Consider the following 15,989-nt stretch of genomic DNA (forward strand, 5'->3'; position numbering starts at 1 on the left):
CCTGTGTTGGTGAGAGGTAGCTGTCTTCAGCTGAATCTGATGATGGTCTCTTGTTTTATGGACCTGTGCACAATACAGGCTGTTGGGGATCACCCACAAGAAGATACACTAAATATTATTATGTTTGCAAGTCCAAGCAATTGGAGAACTGGAGAAAACATTCTGTGAGACCCACCGAAGGGTAGAAATTAGAAAACAAGAGATCTATTTTAAGTCACCAAAGGATCTATCAAAGTATATCCTGCTCTTATGCATACTGTGACATTTCTGCTGCATAGTTTTGCATTTTACTCTTCCTTTTATCACTTACAAAGTTATATTTTTACTAAATGAAAAGATTTTGAGATCATCATATGCTTACATAGTGTGAAATACCTGTTAGAGAATGCATTTAACTAGAGACATACACCCTCTCACACACGTGCGTACACAGATGCATACAAACACATCCTCTGCTCTCTTGGATGCAGCTATCAATATCTGCGCTGATGTTGTTAATGAATATATCTAGAAGCTGCATCCTAATGTAGTCTGTGTTTGTAGAACCTGTGCATAGTTTTGATATGAATCACTTAGCTTCTCCGGACCTCTGTTTCACATTTCGAAAACACAGAATAGGAGTAAATGTCTACTGTGGTCTTGTTTCAGTTCTGAAAATTCTGTGCAGTTCCTAACAACCAGGCAGTCATAAGGGTTTCTCTTCTGAGTGAAATGTAGCGTCCCCCTACATTTTAATGTTTAACTTGTATCACGTTTTTATCTGAACTACTGTGGTTATTTTTTTTTCTTTTTCTATACTCAAATGTGAGGCCCCTTAACATCTGCTAAACTGCTCTAAGAATTGATGATGTCTAGTTTGGCTAAGAAGAGCATAGGTTAGCTGTCACAAGTCTAAATATAGCTCCATTTATTTTTTATATATTATTCATGTCCTGCATGTGTCAGGTATGGGAACCTTGCATTTACTATTTATTGCTGTTGTCAGAATATTCAGTAGCAAGTTCCTGAGGACTGTTTATGGCCTCTCATTGTCAACTGTGGGCTACCTGGTTATAAAGCCATTAATCTAATAAAATTTAATATGATGTTTGCAACGTATTGCAAATTTAACACTACTAATTTCTTGTAGGTAGGCTACAGTTAATGCAGTTACTTAGCTGCTTCAGAAATGTTCTCTGGCAAAACCCACTTTTCCTCACCAATGTAAAGTGAGGCCTCTCTCAGTTTTTTGCCACTCTTGAACATTTAAATTCCCTTTGCTTCAGCATTTATTCATGTTCCTTGTACCAGTAATGTTATGTTATTCAAGGGCAATCCTGTTTGAATACTCAGATCATAGACCAATTGCCAGTGCCTAAAGCAAACCTGGAGCCTTTTTCCTGTGAAGAATCAGTATCAGCTTGACACTAATGATCATGAGTGGTAGGTAATGAGAGGTTGCAAGCTAGTGGAAAGGAATCCCGCAAACATACCTTTCTTTGTAACATAACAGTACTTAACAGTTCAGCTTCTAGGACTGACTAGGTAACTACATGAAGCGGCATTCCAGCGTCCTAGCCTATACGAATAACGTTTCTCCTTGGAAATTGTAGTTGTTCTCTTAAAAGGCATGATGTAATTCATTTTTCCTGATAGAGGATAGCCAGTAGGTCAGTTGATATCATATCTGTTTTTGCATACATATTATGCTTAAAGATATGTTGTTGCCTATACCTAAGAAAAAAGACTAGAAGGAAATATGGCAAAATGTTACAATTTAGTAAGCTCTGAATAGTGACACTACTGATCATTTTTTTTCTATTTTGTTTTCCAATGTGTTTCTCTTATTTTTTAAAGAATAATAAGCTGTGTTACCTTAAATTGTTCATTTTGTTTTTTTCTTTTTTTTTTAAAGAAAGATAAAATATATTTCTCTTATTGCTAATAAATATATTTTTTGGTTAGTAGTACATGAAATCAGGTCTTCAGATCTTTTCTCCTTTGAATAAAAATCTATATTGGAATTATTGTAAGTTTTGATATTCTAAATTGCTAAATATCAACATCTCTTCCTATTGCTAGTATACTGACACCTCCTTTTTTGTTACTAGTTAAAAATCTTCAATAAAAGTTAACACTAAATGTCACTTCATAATTACAGTAATGATCACACAGCTGTGCTTTGCTCAGTTTATAACATATGTCAGCATCAGTTTAGGAGCTCAGCATCGTTTCCTGCCCAGATATAATTCTTCAGACAATTCTTGTGGTCAGTGCTAAGGGTAGTCAATCAGGCCAGGAGTTCAGGTATGAAGTTCTGGAGCATGCGGCAGTATCCCTTGCCCTTTGCAGGTCTCCTGGCCTTTATGTGTTTATTTACTTACTTATTTTCTTAGTTTTCAAGTATTTTACATTGCTAGATTAGGAACAGTTTTATTTACGAGCATGTGAATTTTTGAGGAGGAACTCTTACACTTAAATGAACCTGTAAGAAGCCCATAGAAAAGCAAATGCCTGCAGCGCTAATAATGAGAACTGACAAGGCAATCCTGCTGGGTTTATTTATGACCTTCTGCCTTTGTTAGCTCTTGTGAGAAATTCCTTTCTAACCATAACAATATTGTTGGAGTTTGGCACTGTACAGAGAAATCCTGCCGAGCCCTGGGGCCCACAAACTGGCACTCGTGCAGCTCGGAGCAGATTGCTGTGCTCCTCTTAGCTTTACATTTTTTTCCTTCACTCTTCTTTTATTTAATTTCTAAGTAACATTTACCAGTCTTCGTATGTTTATTTTTAAAGATGCTGCTTTTATTCTCAAAGCCAAAATTCATTTTATCCTTAGTACAATGTCTTATCTACTTAGCAGTGTTGAGAAAAATTCAGAAGAGGACAGGATGCAGAAGGCAAGAAGAGGCAGGTGCACTCCACACAAGGGCACACCTTGGAAGGTCCCATCACACTCTGCAGACTGATGGACTGCCGTGGTGCTCCTAAACAATCTCACGTGGTGACACATCCTAAGAGCAAAAAGTGAGCTCAGTAGGACAAATGGACTGCAGGTTATAGTTTTAGGATACTCTTTCCTCTCCATTTCATTACTTTAAGACTTCTACAATTTCCAAATGAAACAGGAACTTTAAAAGCATCAGTTCACAAATAATTGTCTTAAAAATTATAATTATCTTTGAAAGGAAAAAAAATACAACAACAAAACAAACAAACATTAAGCATGTAACTCTTAGAAGGAGACCATTGACAAGATTGTTGAGGAGTTATTCCGGGCACAGGCGCTACCTGTACCTGAAGCAGTGGTATTCATTGTTTCCTGATAATTGGTCCTATTCCACAAAGTTGCCAGCAGTGAAAGAATAACAATTTATTTTAAAGTCTGTGTAAATTATTGATAGGCATGTGACTTCTGTTTCTTCTGAGAATCTTCAGGTTCAAGATGCCAGCTTCTGTGACCCATTTAACTAGAAGTTCCTATGTCTGAATTTATTTGTTCGTCTTTTGGGGAAGGTTGGGTTGTTAGACTGGGGCTGTTATTATCAAAAGGCCATGCTATGAAAATCTGACTTTAGACTTTTGCTTTTTCCCACTTACCCAAAATCGGATTTTTCAGAAGTTTTCCTCAGCTATCTTATTCAGGTATTTACAGACTTGCTAAATGGGGACCATAAAGAAAATCTTAGTAAAAATATTAGGTTGATCAAATGTGCAAAGTATGCATATGAGCAGAATTTTTTCTTTGTCCAACTTGATCTTATCATTTCCTTATTGTATATGTCTTCATTAAGTTTTAACATCTATTCTGAAAATACTAATGTGATTTCATGCTACTGCTATTCATCTGTTTCCCATCTTTTAAATAGGATTTGTTGTTCACCTTCGAGTGGGCATAAGTTAATCTTCTCTTCATTCAGTTGTGCTGTAGCTATGTGTTAAAATCTCCAGGGTCCCCTTTTGTTTTATTTCCTTTACAAAAAAAGCTTCAGCATTTATACAGTTGGTAAATTCTCAAGTACAAAGAAGGAAGTGAAAATCCTCCCAAATCTGATCACCTCAAATAACTACTGTTAATATTTTATTCAGCACCAGTCTATACCTGTTAGGCATTTAAAAAGGCACGTATATACAAGTGTATTTTGTATGTATAAATAAGCCTGCATGCTCATATAATCTTTATAATGTTTATTTTCTGTTGTTACTTGATTTTCGTTCAATCTTTTCAATAAAATTGTACTGTTTATATTAATATGACATACATTTTTAATAATTTCTATATACTTTTAAATTGCTCGCTACTAAACAGATTTAGATGATTTCTAACTTATTGCTGTTACAATGTCCAGTTTTCTTATTTCCTGTTTTAAATTATCTTAATACTATGTGATATTATAAAACAAAAATCAAAATAATCACTAACATATATTAAGTGGATTCTTTATTAACTCATTCAGTTCTCTCAGCCTCTTTGAGACAGAGATCCATTTTATAGGTGAAGAAACTGAGGCTTAGAGATGTTAAATCACTTGCCCAATGTCACACCACTGGGAAGTACTACAGCAAAGACTTGAACCAAGGCTTTACAACCTGGGCTGGTTCCCTTCTCTAGTCAGTGCTGTCTTTGGTGTGTAGTGTTTATATACTTTAAAGAAGTGCCAAAGGCCATTTGCTTAGTATAATATTGATTGTTAATATAACTCTTTGCCTAATACATAATTATCTGATAAATATTTGATAAAGAATGGGATACATTTATGCCACTAGTATTTATTCACCCCATCTTTTTTTTTTTTTTTTTGGAGACACAGCCTCACTCTGTCGCTCTGGCTGGAGTGCAGTGGTACAATCTCGGCTCACTGCAACCTCCGCCTCCTGGGTTCAGGGAATTCTCCTGCCCCAGCCTCCTGAATAGCTGGAATTACAGATGTACACCACAACACCTGCCTAAATTTTTGTAGTTTTAGTAGAGACAGGGTTTCACCGTGTTGGCCAGGCTGGCCTCAAACTCCTGACCTCAGGTGATCTGCCTGCCTCAGCCTCCCAAAGTGCTAGGATTACAGATGTGAGCCACCGCGCCTGGCCCTATGCACCCCATCTTTTAAGTGAGATATTTTTCTACAAGTCATTTACACATTCTTTACTCAAAATGTATTTTACCTTATAAGCAGTGTTTAAAAACAGTATGTGTCAGAACTGTGTTAATATGTGGATGTATGTATTTATACATAGCGACTGCTTATTGAGCACTTATTGTATGCTTAATGTTTCAGATTCACGATTGCATTTAATTCTCACTGTGGCATAAATGTTATTTTCTCTATTTGGGGGGTGGTGAAATTAAGTATTCTCAGTGAACTTAGGTAACTTGCTTAAGGTTAGGTGAAGAAATGATTGCACCAGGACCTGAGTTTACACTGCTCTTACCCCACAATTCCTGCTGGAGGAGTTAGCTGCCATGTTATTATTCAACACCTTTATCACAGTAAGTATTTAACGAGCACAGATCTTGGTGCCAGACAGATCATGCTTAGTGCTGCTTTATCTACAGCAACTCAGTTAACTCTCTCAACACTGTGAGTTCATTATTTATTATCCACATGCTACACACACAAGTGGAGTGGAGGCCGGTAGGGTTTGACTGTGGCTCAGGCCTTTGCCCAAGTCCTCCGAGTGAGTGAAACTGACCAGCAGCTGTCTGGTTCCAGAGCCCGAATTCTATTGTAATCATCCCCATCCCCCAAAACAAAAAGAAGACTGTTATGATACCATACAAATATCAAAAAGAAAACTTGAACATTGATTGCATGCCTTTGAGAAGCAGGTTTCATTAGAGGATTAGAATAAGATGTAGCAAGAAGGCTTCACAGCACCTTCCAGAGATTTTCAGATTGTTTTTTGTTTGTTTGTTTGTTGGTTTGTTTGAGACAGAGTCTCACTCTGTCACCCAGGCTGGAACTAAGTGGTGCACACTCTCAGCTCACTGCAACCTCAGCCTCCGGGGTTCAAGCAATTCTCGTGCCTCAGCCTCCTGAGTAGCTGGGATTACAGGTGTGCCTCACCACACGGGGCTAATTTTTATTTTTAGTAGAGATGGGGTTTCACCATGTTGGCCAGGCTGATCTCGAACTCCCGAGCTCAGATGATCCGCCCACCTCGGCCTCCCAAAGTGCTAGGATTACAGGCATGAGACACCATGCCCGGCCAATTTACAGATTATTGATCAGAGTTTAAGTCCAGCTTTACTTGTTTGGATATATAATTTACTTGGATAAAGAGGAATTAGGCAATATGATGGGCTAGTGAGTCAAGTTCTTTTGGTCTCTCCCTTGTTCAAAGGTATTACAGTGCAAAGGAAATGTGAATTTTATTCTTGTGCCTTTGGGAGTCCCATGTCTTATTTTATGCTGTCTTTGAGACTCTTTATAGTGGAGTGAAGTGATCATCAGAGGAAACTTTTTATCCTACTCTAGGGTCTGGGAACGTGCTCCAGGGAACAGGGTAATTATTTATAAAGGTGAGGTATAGTAACATCATGGCGTGGTGTAAGAATGGCTCTTGTGGAGAGGTAGTATGGTTGAGTGTAAAACACACTGGGTGTCCAGTGCTCATTCAAGTCCTTATTGATACTATTTTCTTTATCATCATGGTTATTATTATTGGCATTGGAAGTTTCTTTCTGAGACCCTGAATAGGTTGATGACCACCTCCTTTTGAGTAGTTTTTGAAGTAACATATTATAAAGTGGTTATATGCTCTTGGAAAAAATTATTATGTAAAATTGCACTTGAGTGCTAGCACTTGAGGTATTAAGTGACCAGCTGCCCCTGTACAAAAATGAAAACTCATTTTGGAAACCTCTTATCTAAGTGAGTCTATGAATCATAACAGAAAATAAGAAAAATGCATGGTTTTAAGTTTGACTTTTGCGGGAGTACTGCATTTGTTGAATTTGATTTTAAAATATAAAAATAGTCTCCATAAAACATTTCCATCTGTAATCTAGTTAAGCTAATCATGTAAAAAGTTTCTGAATTCTCTACTTTTCTAAAGCATTCAGAAGTCTTAAAAATGATTTTAATGAAAATATGAAAATTTTCTACTAGGATACTTGCATAATTTCATATATATCACCCAAAATGTTTATTCTTGTCTGGTTTTTACATACATCCACAAAATTTTTGATATTCTTTTACTAGGAGGTGGAGCTTAATTCCCCTCCCATGAGTGTGGGCTGGACTTAGTGACTCCCTTCATGAGTAGAGTATGGACAGGGAATAAAGTAACTTAACAATGGAGAAACCTGGTTGACACCACCTTAACCAAGTGATCAAGGCTAACATCACCAGTGGTGAGTCATGTTGACATCGTCATGTTGACCTCGTCCTCCCCGCTATGGTACGATATGAAGGACACTTCACTTCTGTGGTATTTTCCCCCAAAATCTGTAAGCCCAGTCTCATCATGAGAAAACACCAAGACATGCAAATGAAGGACATTTTACAAAATACCTGACAAGTACTCTTCAACTGTGTCAAGGAAAGACTGGGAAACTGTCACAGAATGGAGGAGGCTAAGGAGACACGGCGAGTCATTGTAACATGGATGGTGGGTTGGGTCCTGGAACAGAAAAGGGACATAAGTGGCAAAGCTGGAAAAATATGAATGAAGTCTCTGGTTAACAGTGTCGTAGTACTGTTCATTTTGCAGTTTTGATAAATGTGCCATGTTATGTGAAATGTTGCTGTTAGGGAAACCGGATGAAGGATGTAAAGGAACTCTCAGTCTGAAGTCATTTCAAAATTGAAAGTTAAAAAGTTCAGTGAAGGATGAAGAACAAATACATTTTTTCTTATGGTTCATGTGAATGGGTAGAATATCAAAATAACCAAGTTTAGTAATGTTCTACAAGTAAAACTTGCCTATTTTTCATAGTAGACTCCACACAATTTGTGAGTTGTGTGTTTTTCTGTTAGGTTTTTTTGTTTGTTTGTTTTGTTTTTTTTTCCTCCAGGAGATGAGGTCTCACTGTGTTGCCCAGGCTGGAATGCAGAGGCTATTCACAGGTACAATAGTGTCCTACAGCCTTGAACTCCTGGGATCAAGCAATATTCCTGCCTAATTTTTTTAAAGTTGCTAATTTATTTACAGTTCCTATAAATCTTAATGTTTATAAGCATTTTACTGCTATACTACTGAAGAAATGAATGTCTCCAGAAGGCTCATGCCTTTTTATTGTGTTATTTTTAGAGATTCTGTGTGCTAAGCATTGTACTTCTAAGATAAACAGTAAAGTTGTTGTGGGTTTTTTTTTACCATGAGAGATGGAAGTGGTGGTATTGATGGCTTTTCTGTCCTGAAGATTTATTGTAAACTTTCAGTTATAAAAACAGGAATCTGTAGGCAAAGTCTGAATCTTATATATTTACAGGTCTTGTTAGTTTGTCAATTTACTTTCAAAAGCACATGGGTCATTAATATTTATAGGTTCCTACCTGGCAATGATGTTTGGGAAGCACCAACCCATAAACCCATCTCTCTCTCTTCCTCAGTGGTATTAGGTGATTTTTTCCTTTCTAACTAAATACCTTGAGAGTCATCACCAGCAGTTTTGGAGTAGAATATAGAATTAAGAGACTATAATCTTTAAGACTGTATGTTAGTCATAGTTTTTAGATACTGTCAGGCTGTTTTAAGGTTAAGGCATATATCTTTCAACTCATGTTTTTCATTGATTCTCACATGGACCTGAAATGAGTCAGATGACTATGTCGATCCTTAAAATTATTGCAATCTAGAAAACATGTTGCTATTTAACCCAGACTAGAGTTACTCAGGCAATTTTGTTGTCATTGTGTTATTTGTTTAATTCTATATAATGCTAAAAATATACAGATTTTTTAAAAAGCACTTTACAGATTTATTCTTAAATAGTACCTGCAATTTTAATTGTGTTTAAAGTGTTCTTAGTCTCTTCGTTGGCACCTATTGCAAATTTTTCCTCTTCTAATAATATTAAGACTCACTTTCTGGACCTCTGTGGCTCCCTGGTTCCTAAAAATGTAGGCCCCTGTTCCTTGGCATAAGCACGTGAGGCCATGCGCAGCCTGCCTCTGCCAGGCTCCGGAGCCTCACCCTCTCTCCTGGGCATCCCAAGTGCCGCCTGTGCCGAAATGAGCATGCCCTCCCCTCACTCTTCCTGCCCTTTGTGCCTTTGTGGATTGTCCCCTCTGCTTCCTGTCTCTTTCCCTGCCAAGTGCCCCTTCCCACCAGCTGTCCTAGAGTATCCTTTACTCCTGGTTTGGACCCCAGTCCCTGGACATTTACCCGTCAGTCTGTCCTCTTAGCACTTACTAATTCACCCTCCATCATAGAATTTTCTGCACTTCATTGTTGTTTGTGTGGTTTGTCTCTCTTCATTGAGACTCAATGATAGAAGGACATTCAAGTGTACAAGTCCACATATGAATATAAAATGTCATCCACACGTCAACACTGCCTTCTCCCTTTTTCTCCACCTCCTCTCACCCATCCCACAGCACCAACTACAAAACTTAGATAGGGCTTGCTTAAGGGTGACTCTAGTACAAAAATACCTTTCCTCACATTATTCAGTATCTCACTTTTTTATAAAGCTTTAATTTCATCAGTACACTATAATTTGTTTTCAAAACATCATTGTTCCTGGAATAATAAAGGGCCAGCAGTTACGCACACGAGTCTTTTTCGTGTTTTAGCACTGACATGGGGCTTGACTTGTGGGTAGGAAGAGTCTTAAGTTCGTTGGACTTAAGTATGATAAAATCAGATAAAAAGCATTTTAACTGGTAGGAACAATGAAATGCCGCTAACAAGATGCTGTTATTTTCTCACGTAAGAAAATATGCATAGTATCTGGAGCACTTAGACGGCCCTTGATCAGTGGTGGTATCAGTTGTTGCTAAAGTCAGCATTCTCGTGGCCATAATCATGAGCATTTCTGAGGCTGGTCCTGGGAGTCTAACCAAGAAGGGAAACGTTACTTCCAGATGAAGGTAAATCCCAGATTCTATATACCCAAAAAAAGCTTATAAATACATTTTCGTACCAAATTATTTTTGAGTTCTACTGCCCATACTATGTTGAGAGGTCTATTTGTTGTTCTTTCTAGTCTACGTAACTCCTGAGACTGTTAATAGTTGAAGAGTGGAGAATCTCTTCAAAAGAGCTTGAAAACTGAGACTATTTTAGGAACCCCTTGAGGCTTGTGCAGTGGGGAAGAAAGATCCCTTTTATGATGCATATTTCATACTTGCATTGTTTACCACTTCTAAGTTTAGGATGGCAACATGTTCCATATCAGGAGTTTTAACCCAAGGACCTTTGAGAACAGCTTTTATTTTAGATGCTGATTTTTAAATACCAAAGAAAATGTAACCATTACAATGATATTTATCTAAAATGGTATGCCTAACTCAGAATTTTGCTTTTGTAAAGTGTCAATTTAGCTGATTATCCTACAAATGTCCCCCTTAAAATGAGAGTTACCCATAATGGAATCTTTGCCTGAGAAATAACACAAACGTATCAGGTGAAAGTCATGTCACCCAAAAGTAGTTCTTGGCCACCCCTCTTAAAGTGAATTTTGGCTCATTAGTTTTTCTTGTGTTATCTCTGGCTTTTGATACGGATTTTTGGAGCTTAGAACTAATTTTAAATTAACATCAACCTTTTTTTCCAGCTGACCTCGTACATCTTAAGGGTGTGTACTGTACATACTGTCACATAATGAGAAAATAAATACATATTTGGACATGATTAAATAAAAAGCGACACATGTATAACTTGGAAAGAGGATGCTCTTAAGGCCTAACAATTAGTGCTTGGCAGATTTTTTTTCCAGGGATTCTGTTTTTCTGGTGCCTTTGCTTTATTTTTTAATGTGGTCTAAGATAGGAAGTCTGAGCTTTTAACTCATTTGCTGTCTAGACAAATGAAAGCAGCAGGGACTTTGGTAGGTATCTGGACATAAACACTATTACAACACAGGTTAATGCAAGAAAAAGCCTTTAAACATCATGGAAATTAAACAGTCACTGTGAGAATTTTCCTTTTGTGTGTATGTGTCTGTCAATTTATTGACTCAATTCTCATATCAATTTCAAGGTGTATTCATATCACGTGACCAAAAATGATAGTTGTGAAATAAGGGTGGAAGATGTGAAGTAATTTTACAGTGTGTTTCTAAAGAACCAAGAATCTAATGACACTGGATACTTGACATCCAGGATGTTAATTAGAAACAGAGGGCTGATAATTCATTGCTAAGTTTTAATAGCTAAGTCAATAGTTTTCAGTAGAGCATTTATGGTAAATATTTAGAAATATTTGCATGTGCTGGATTACTTTCTATAGTGTTTGCAGCTGTATTTTTCTGTAGAGCTTATAAATTTAGTGATATTTACCGATGAACAATCATATCCATTTTGTCTTTAGCACCGCACTTGGCACAAGAAGTCACTACCCTTAAGAAGGTGAGGGTGTAGTTGAAGAGAGAAAAAGAAAAAGAAAAAGTACACGGTTTTATTTCATTTTAATATTCTAAAAAGGAGAAGAGACACTACTTCTGCTTTTTAAGATAATTAAGAGACTTTTTTTGAAGACCACTGAACTGGCGTTTTAACCTGTGCTTTAAACCCATGGGAAGTCACAGTGAGAAATCATTAACTGTATCCTATTAAAATCCTTAAACAAGAGACCTGAACTGGTCTCATTGATTGAAATATCTTCTCTATTTCTGATTCAGTGTTTATCCTCATGCTCTCCTGGGGCACTTCTGAGCAAGAGATGCCCAAATGTGTGCAGTGCTTGGCAGCTTTCTATGAGCGGCTGATCTAATACCATCAGCTAATTGTATTGAGAACCATAGCTTAGAGTATTTTCATTTGCTTTTTAAAAAACCCACTTATTTAATTAAGCAAGGGAGTAAAATTTTCTGACTTATTCCCAGTTCTCTGAGAAAGTAAAGCCACCAGTATTGACTGAATTTATCCTTTGGTGAGCTAACTTACGCTAAATTGAATACCATCAAAACCAAATATGTCTTTTGATGTGTAGCAAGTCGTCATGTAGTAATGTAAAATATTTTTAGGAAGGATCATGTACAATCTGTAGGCATGAGAGAGTCTTTATACTTAATATCTATTTCAATTATCTGCAGATTTTAAAAAATCCTTCCCATGCATCTTCTTTGTGGGATGTCCCATCTTTATTCCTTCTGACGCTGCCCTCCCTGAGCCTGCCCCAACATAGAGAATCTGAACATATTCATGCTGCATGTTAATTTGTGAATGTTTCTCTTGTCAAAGTCTGATAAGATTGTTATTGCTTTGGGTGGCATTTCATTCTAAGCACAGTGAAATCTCTTGTACTTGTCACTAGGGTTAGAATGAAAATTTTACATGGGCAGAGAGACAGTGGAAGGATGATGGTTACAGAGGGAGAGTCATTGCAGGGAACTGTCATTTAAATTAAGTTTTAAAGCTAAACAGCTTCATGATTTTGGTTTTTGAAGGCAGGGATTTTAAAAAATTAATCATCGATAGTAGAAGTTAAGTTATTTTTGGTGTGCCAGAAAGTAATCAGTATTCCGAGTGATGTCAGTTACTGAAAACCCAACTTAATAGCAAGATTTCACCAAATCACATGATGATAGCAAAATAGTGATTTTACTATGCTTGAGAGCCCATGAAGTCATTGCCTTGCCAATCACCCCATCACAAAAAGAGGACTGATTTATGGAATGCCATGGGGCAGGAGGACTCTCCTAGCCCCTTAAAAGAGACTGCCTGCAATTACCTCACCTGCCAGCTTTCCAGCAAGATAAATGGAAGCACTGTAGCTTGAAGGTGCCTTGGGTAGAATGAGATGCAGTAAGGTCTCTCTGTTCTTTACAGGCATCATAGATCTGATAGTACTTATAAAAGAAGAATAGAGTTGGTGCCCTGCTGACTAAATTGTCCTCTAGAGGAGTATTAGTTACAGAGCTTCTTTGTTAACTAGGCTGAATACTTAAACCACTGTTGAACTTCTTTTATTAGCATGTTTTAAGATAGCTCTACATACAGATACCCTAACAATCTGCAGGGCGGGAATATTTCTGTATAATTTACATATAAAAGTCGCGTGAGTGTGTAACAGTAATATAATAATTATATCTTTTTATTACTCTTCTGTTACACTGAGGTCTAGTCAGCACTGAAATTCTGATGACACATGAACACGAAGAAAGCCACTGTTTTTATATTTTTCTCTTGATACTTCCTTGATCAGCTTGTTGAATAACAGAAATGTTTTTGATGCCTTTGCAACCTGAGTAAAGCCCTCTTAATGCCCATCCGTGTCACTTTTTAAACCATAATATGGAATTTTAAGGGAGAATGGGGATGAAACTTGTAGGCTGTGCAGAGAATTACAAGAACTTCAAAGTAAAATTTCAGATTTTATGATGAGAGATTTGCATAAAATTATTTAACTACAATAGATGATTTTTCAAAAATTAAATCTGATTTGTCCTTTCTACGTTTAACTTCATATATAGTATGGGATTTTATATCTTGTTATCTACCAGGTTTTTTTTTCTTTAGAGAAACATGAAAAGCCTATTTCCTGCCTGATGGCTGTTCTCTGACTGCCGCTTGTTTATTGGTCATTGCCGTGTGGTGGGTACTGTCAGGGCCTGGATATGGAGGCTATCACCCATCCTGGGTTTTTATGATCCCTTCAAAAAGAGTAAGATTATATGGAGTTGTCACTCAGTATTTTTCAGGGGGATGTAGTAACGGAGTAAGTTCCTGTTCCTGTTAAAGCTTGTACCAGTCATGATGTATGGTAAAGTTATGGTGCATTTCAGCTGAGGCCTGTCCTAATTCCTGTTTTTCCCCCAAGGAATAGGCAAAGGCAGTAGGGATGGTGTGAGTACACGTGGTTCTTTAAATCAGGGGTCAGCAAGCTTTTTCCGTTAAGGGCCAGAGAGTAAATATTTTCAACTTTGCAGCCCCTGTGGTCTCTGTCAAGACTTCTGTTGTTGAGTCCAGTAATCAAGTTAAATATAAAGTTTCACCAGCTGAATATGTACAAAACCATGCATCTCACGTGCCCTTACATTTCTGCTAATCATAAGGATTAGCATAAATGTTTATATACCTTTGAATTCTAACAATCGGATTGAATTTACTTAATTTTATTTTGGATTTTTTCTGGAACTGCATCTCACCGTGTCACCTAGGCTGGAGTGCAGTGGCTGCTCACAGGTACACTTGTAGCTCACTGTAGCCTTGAACTCCTGGGCTCAAGCACTCCTCCTGCCTCAGCTTCCCGAGTAGCTGGGACCACAGGCTGTGCCATCACTCCAGGCTTCTGTTTTGGAGATTTGATGAACTTTTTCTAGGGGTGCTGTTTGCAGTCTGCTCTGTTGCTGTTCTGTTGTTTCCCATAAGCACAGTCATTGGACATTGAAGATTTTGTGGAATGAAGACGTTTTCTGTTTTACTTAGAAAGATATTCTTCTTAGCAGAAGACATTTTGTTTTTCTATAGCATTTCTCTTTTTGATTAGGTTCTGTCAGGTATACTTTAGAATATGATTTTTAAAGAGAAGTTAATTATATGCTATAACAGATGCTTACCAGATAAACTAAACTATCCAGGGTACTAGGATCCTAATCCTGAGTTTGCTTTGTGACGTTTCAGGAAACCCTGAAGAGCTATAACCAGCTCTGATTTCCCTTGCTTTTTTTTGTACTTTCTGGTCTAGGTTTACTCTTAGAATCTTAGCATTTTCCTCTGCCAGATTCTAAAGCCCTATTCTCAGAAGTCCCAGTTGCAAGCAGTGAGGTAAAATTTAACATTGATAAAATTTAGAGGGTGGAGATCTATTAGGATTGAATATGCTTTGTAAACAGTAGCATAACCAGATATTTCTGACTCCATTCTATAGTATGTAGTCTTCAGTTATCAGGACAAGTATCTTTTATGCTGTAACTCAGCCTTGAGAACTCGTTGGCACATTGCTCGGTCAGTGATCTGGGAGTCCAGTCATTGCAACGGGGATGCACTGAGCACCTGCTGATGGGGGCCTCCATGGGAGCCATGGGGGGCACACCAGTGATGCAGGCTGAAGTAAAGGCTTTGTCTGCGTCCTCTTCTGCTGAGGGAGCAGAAGACAGTTTCTTCTTCCTCCTCTCTCATCTTCCCCTTTTCGTCTTTAGCACCTACAGTCTGTCCTCAGTAACGTAACCTTCAACAGTAACTTGGACTCTCTGAGCTTCCATTGTTTTGTATCTGTATCAATGGGGTTTTTAATCACTGCCTCAGAGAGTATGGTGATAAAATATAGATGGCATTGACGGTGAAAAACTGGTATTAAAAAGTAAGATATAACATTAGGACCCATTTCTGCCAACATAACTTCAAAGACATTTATTTTCACAATATCATATATAAATACACACATTATTATTTTCTTTTAATGGCACTTTATTGTAAGAATTTCTCGGCCAGGCACAGTGGCTCATGCCAGTAATCCCAGCACTTTGGGAGGCTGCGGCAGGCAGATTGCCTGAGGTCAGGAGTTCGAGACCAGCCTGGCCAACATGGTGAAACCCCGTCTCTATTAAAAATACAAAAATTAGCCAGGTGTGGTGGCAGGTGCCTGTAATCCCAGCTACTAGGGAGGCTGAGGCAGGAGAATCGCTTGAACCCAGGATGCAGAGCTTGCAGTGAGCCAAGATCGCGCCATTACACTCCAGCCTGGGCGACAAGAGTGAGACTTCATCACCTCCCCCCCAAAAAAAAAAAAACTTTCTCATCACAAAGTTTGGTCAAAATTGTGACTGCTATTACATTACAATATCCTAGTTTGAAATTCACGTAGTCCACCAGTGTCAAATTCTGAAAAAAAGGACTCAAAGCCTGTAGTTTTTTACTTTATGAAGTAATCATTTAAGAACCAGCATTCCATTCCTATGG

The 15,989-nt window shown here is 37.8% G+C and overlaps 1 protein-coding gene across 37 annotated transcripts in view, besides 3 other annotated features; it reads left to right on the plus strand.

The window, feature by feature from the left end:
• ARID1B (AT-rich interaction domain 1B) overlaps positions 1-15,989 on the plus strand; it is a 434,754-nt gene that overhangs the window by 292,311 nt on the left and 126,454 nt on the right. Inside the window, exon 6 of one of the 37 annotated variants that reach the window (NM_001438489.1) lies at positions 2,846-4,234. The exons of the other annotated variants lie outside the window; for them this stretch is intronic. Coding sequence (NP_001425418.1) covers positions 2,846-2,851 — 6 coding nt within the window. The 3' untranslated portion in view covers positions 2,852-4,234. Of the gene's footprint in view, positions 1-2,845; positions 4,235-15,989 lie in introns of those variants that run through there. 37 annotated transcript variants of the gene reach the window in all.
• Positions 7,712-7,761: an enhancer, noted in NCBI's record as "active region_25327". NCBI's record gives its function as "activates an Ori minimal core promoter by ATAC-STARR-seq in GM12878 lymphoblastoid cells {active_cell/tissue: GM12878}" and the evidence as "EXISTENCE:reporter gene assay evidence [ECO:0000049][PMID:35858748]".
• Positions 7,772-7,891: an enhancer, noted in NCBI's record as "active region_25328". NCBI's record gives its function as "activates an Ori minimal core promoter by ATAC-STARR-seq in GM12878 lymphoblastoid cells {active_cell/tissue: GM12878}" and the evidence as "EXISTENCE:reporter gene assay evidence [ECO:0000049][PMID:35858748]".
• Positions 12,725-13,226: an enhancer, noted in NCBI's record as "NANOG hESC enhancer chr6:157402195-157402696 (GRCh37/hg19 assembly coordinates)". NCBI's record gives its function as "activates a minimal SCP1, AML or CMV promoter by ChIP-STARR-seq in naive H9 embryonic stem cells {active_cell/tissue: H9 hESC(naive)}" and the evidence as "EXISTENCE:reporter gene assay evidence [ECO:0000049][PMID:30033119]".

Source organism: Homo sapiens, chromosome 6 (assembly GCF_000001405.40).
Source record: "Homo sapiens chromosome 6, GRCh38.p14 Primary Assembly".
In the NCBI taxonomy this organism is placed as follows: domain Eukaryota; kingdom Metazoa; phylum Chordata; class Mammalia; order Primates; family Hominidae; genus Homo; species Homo sapiens.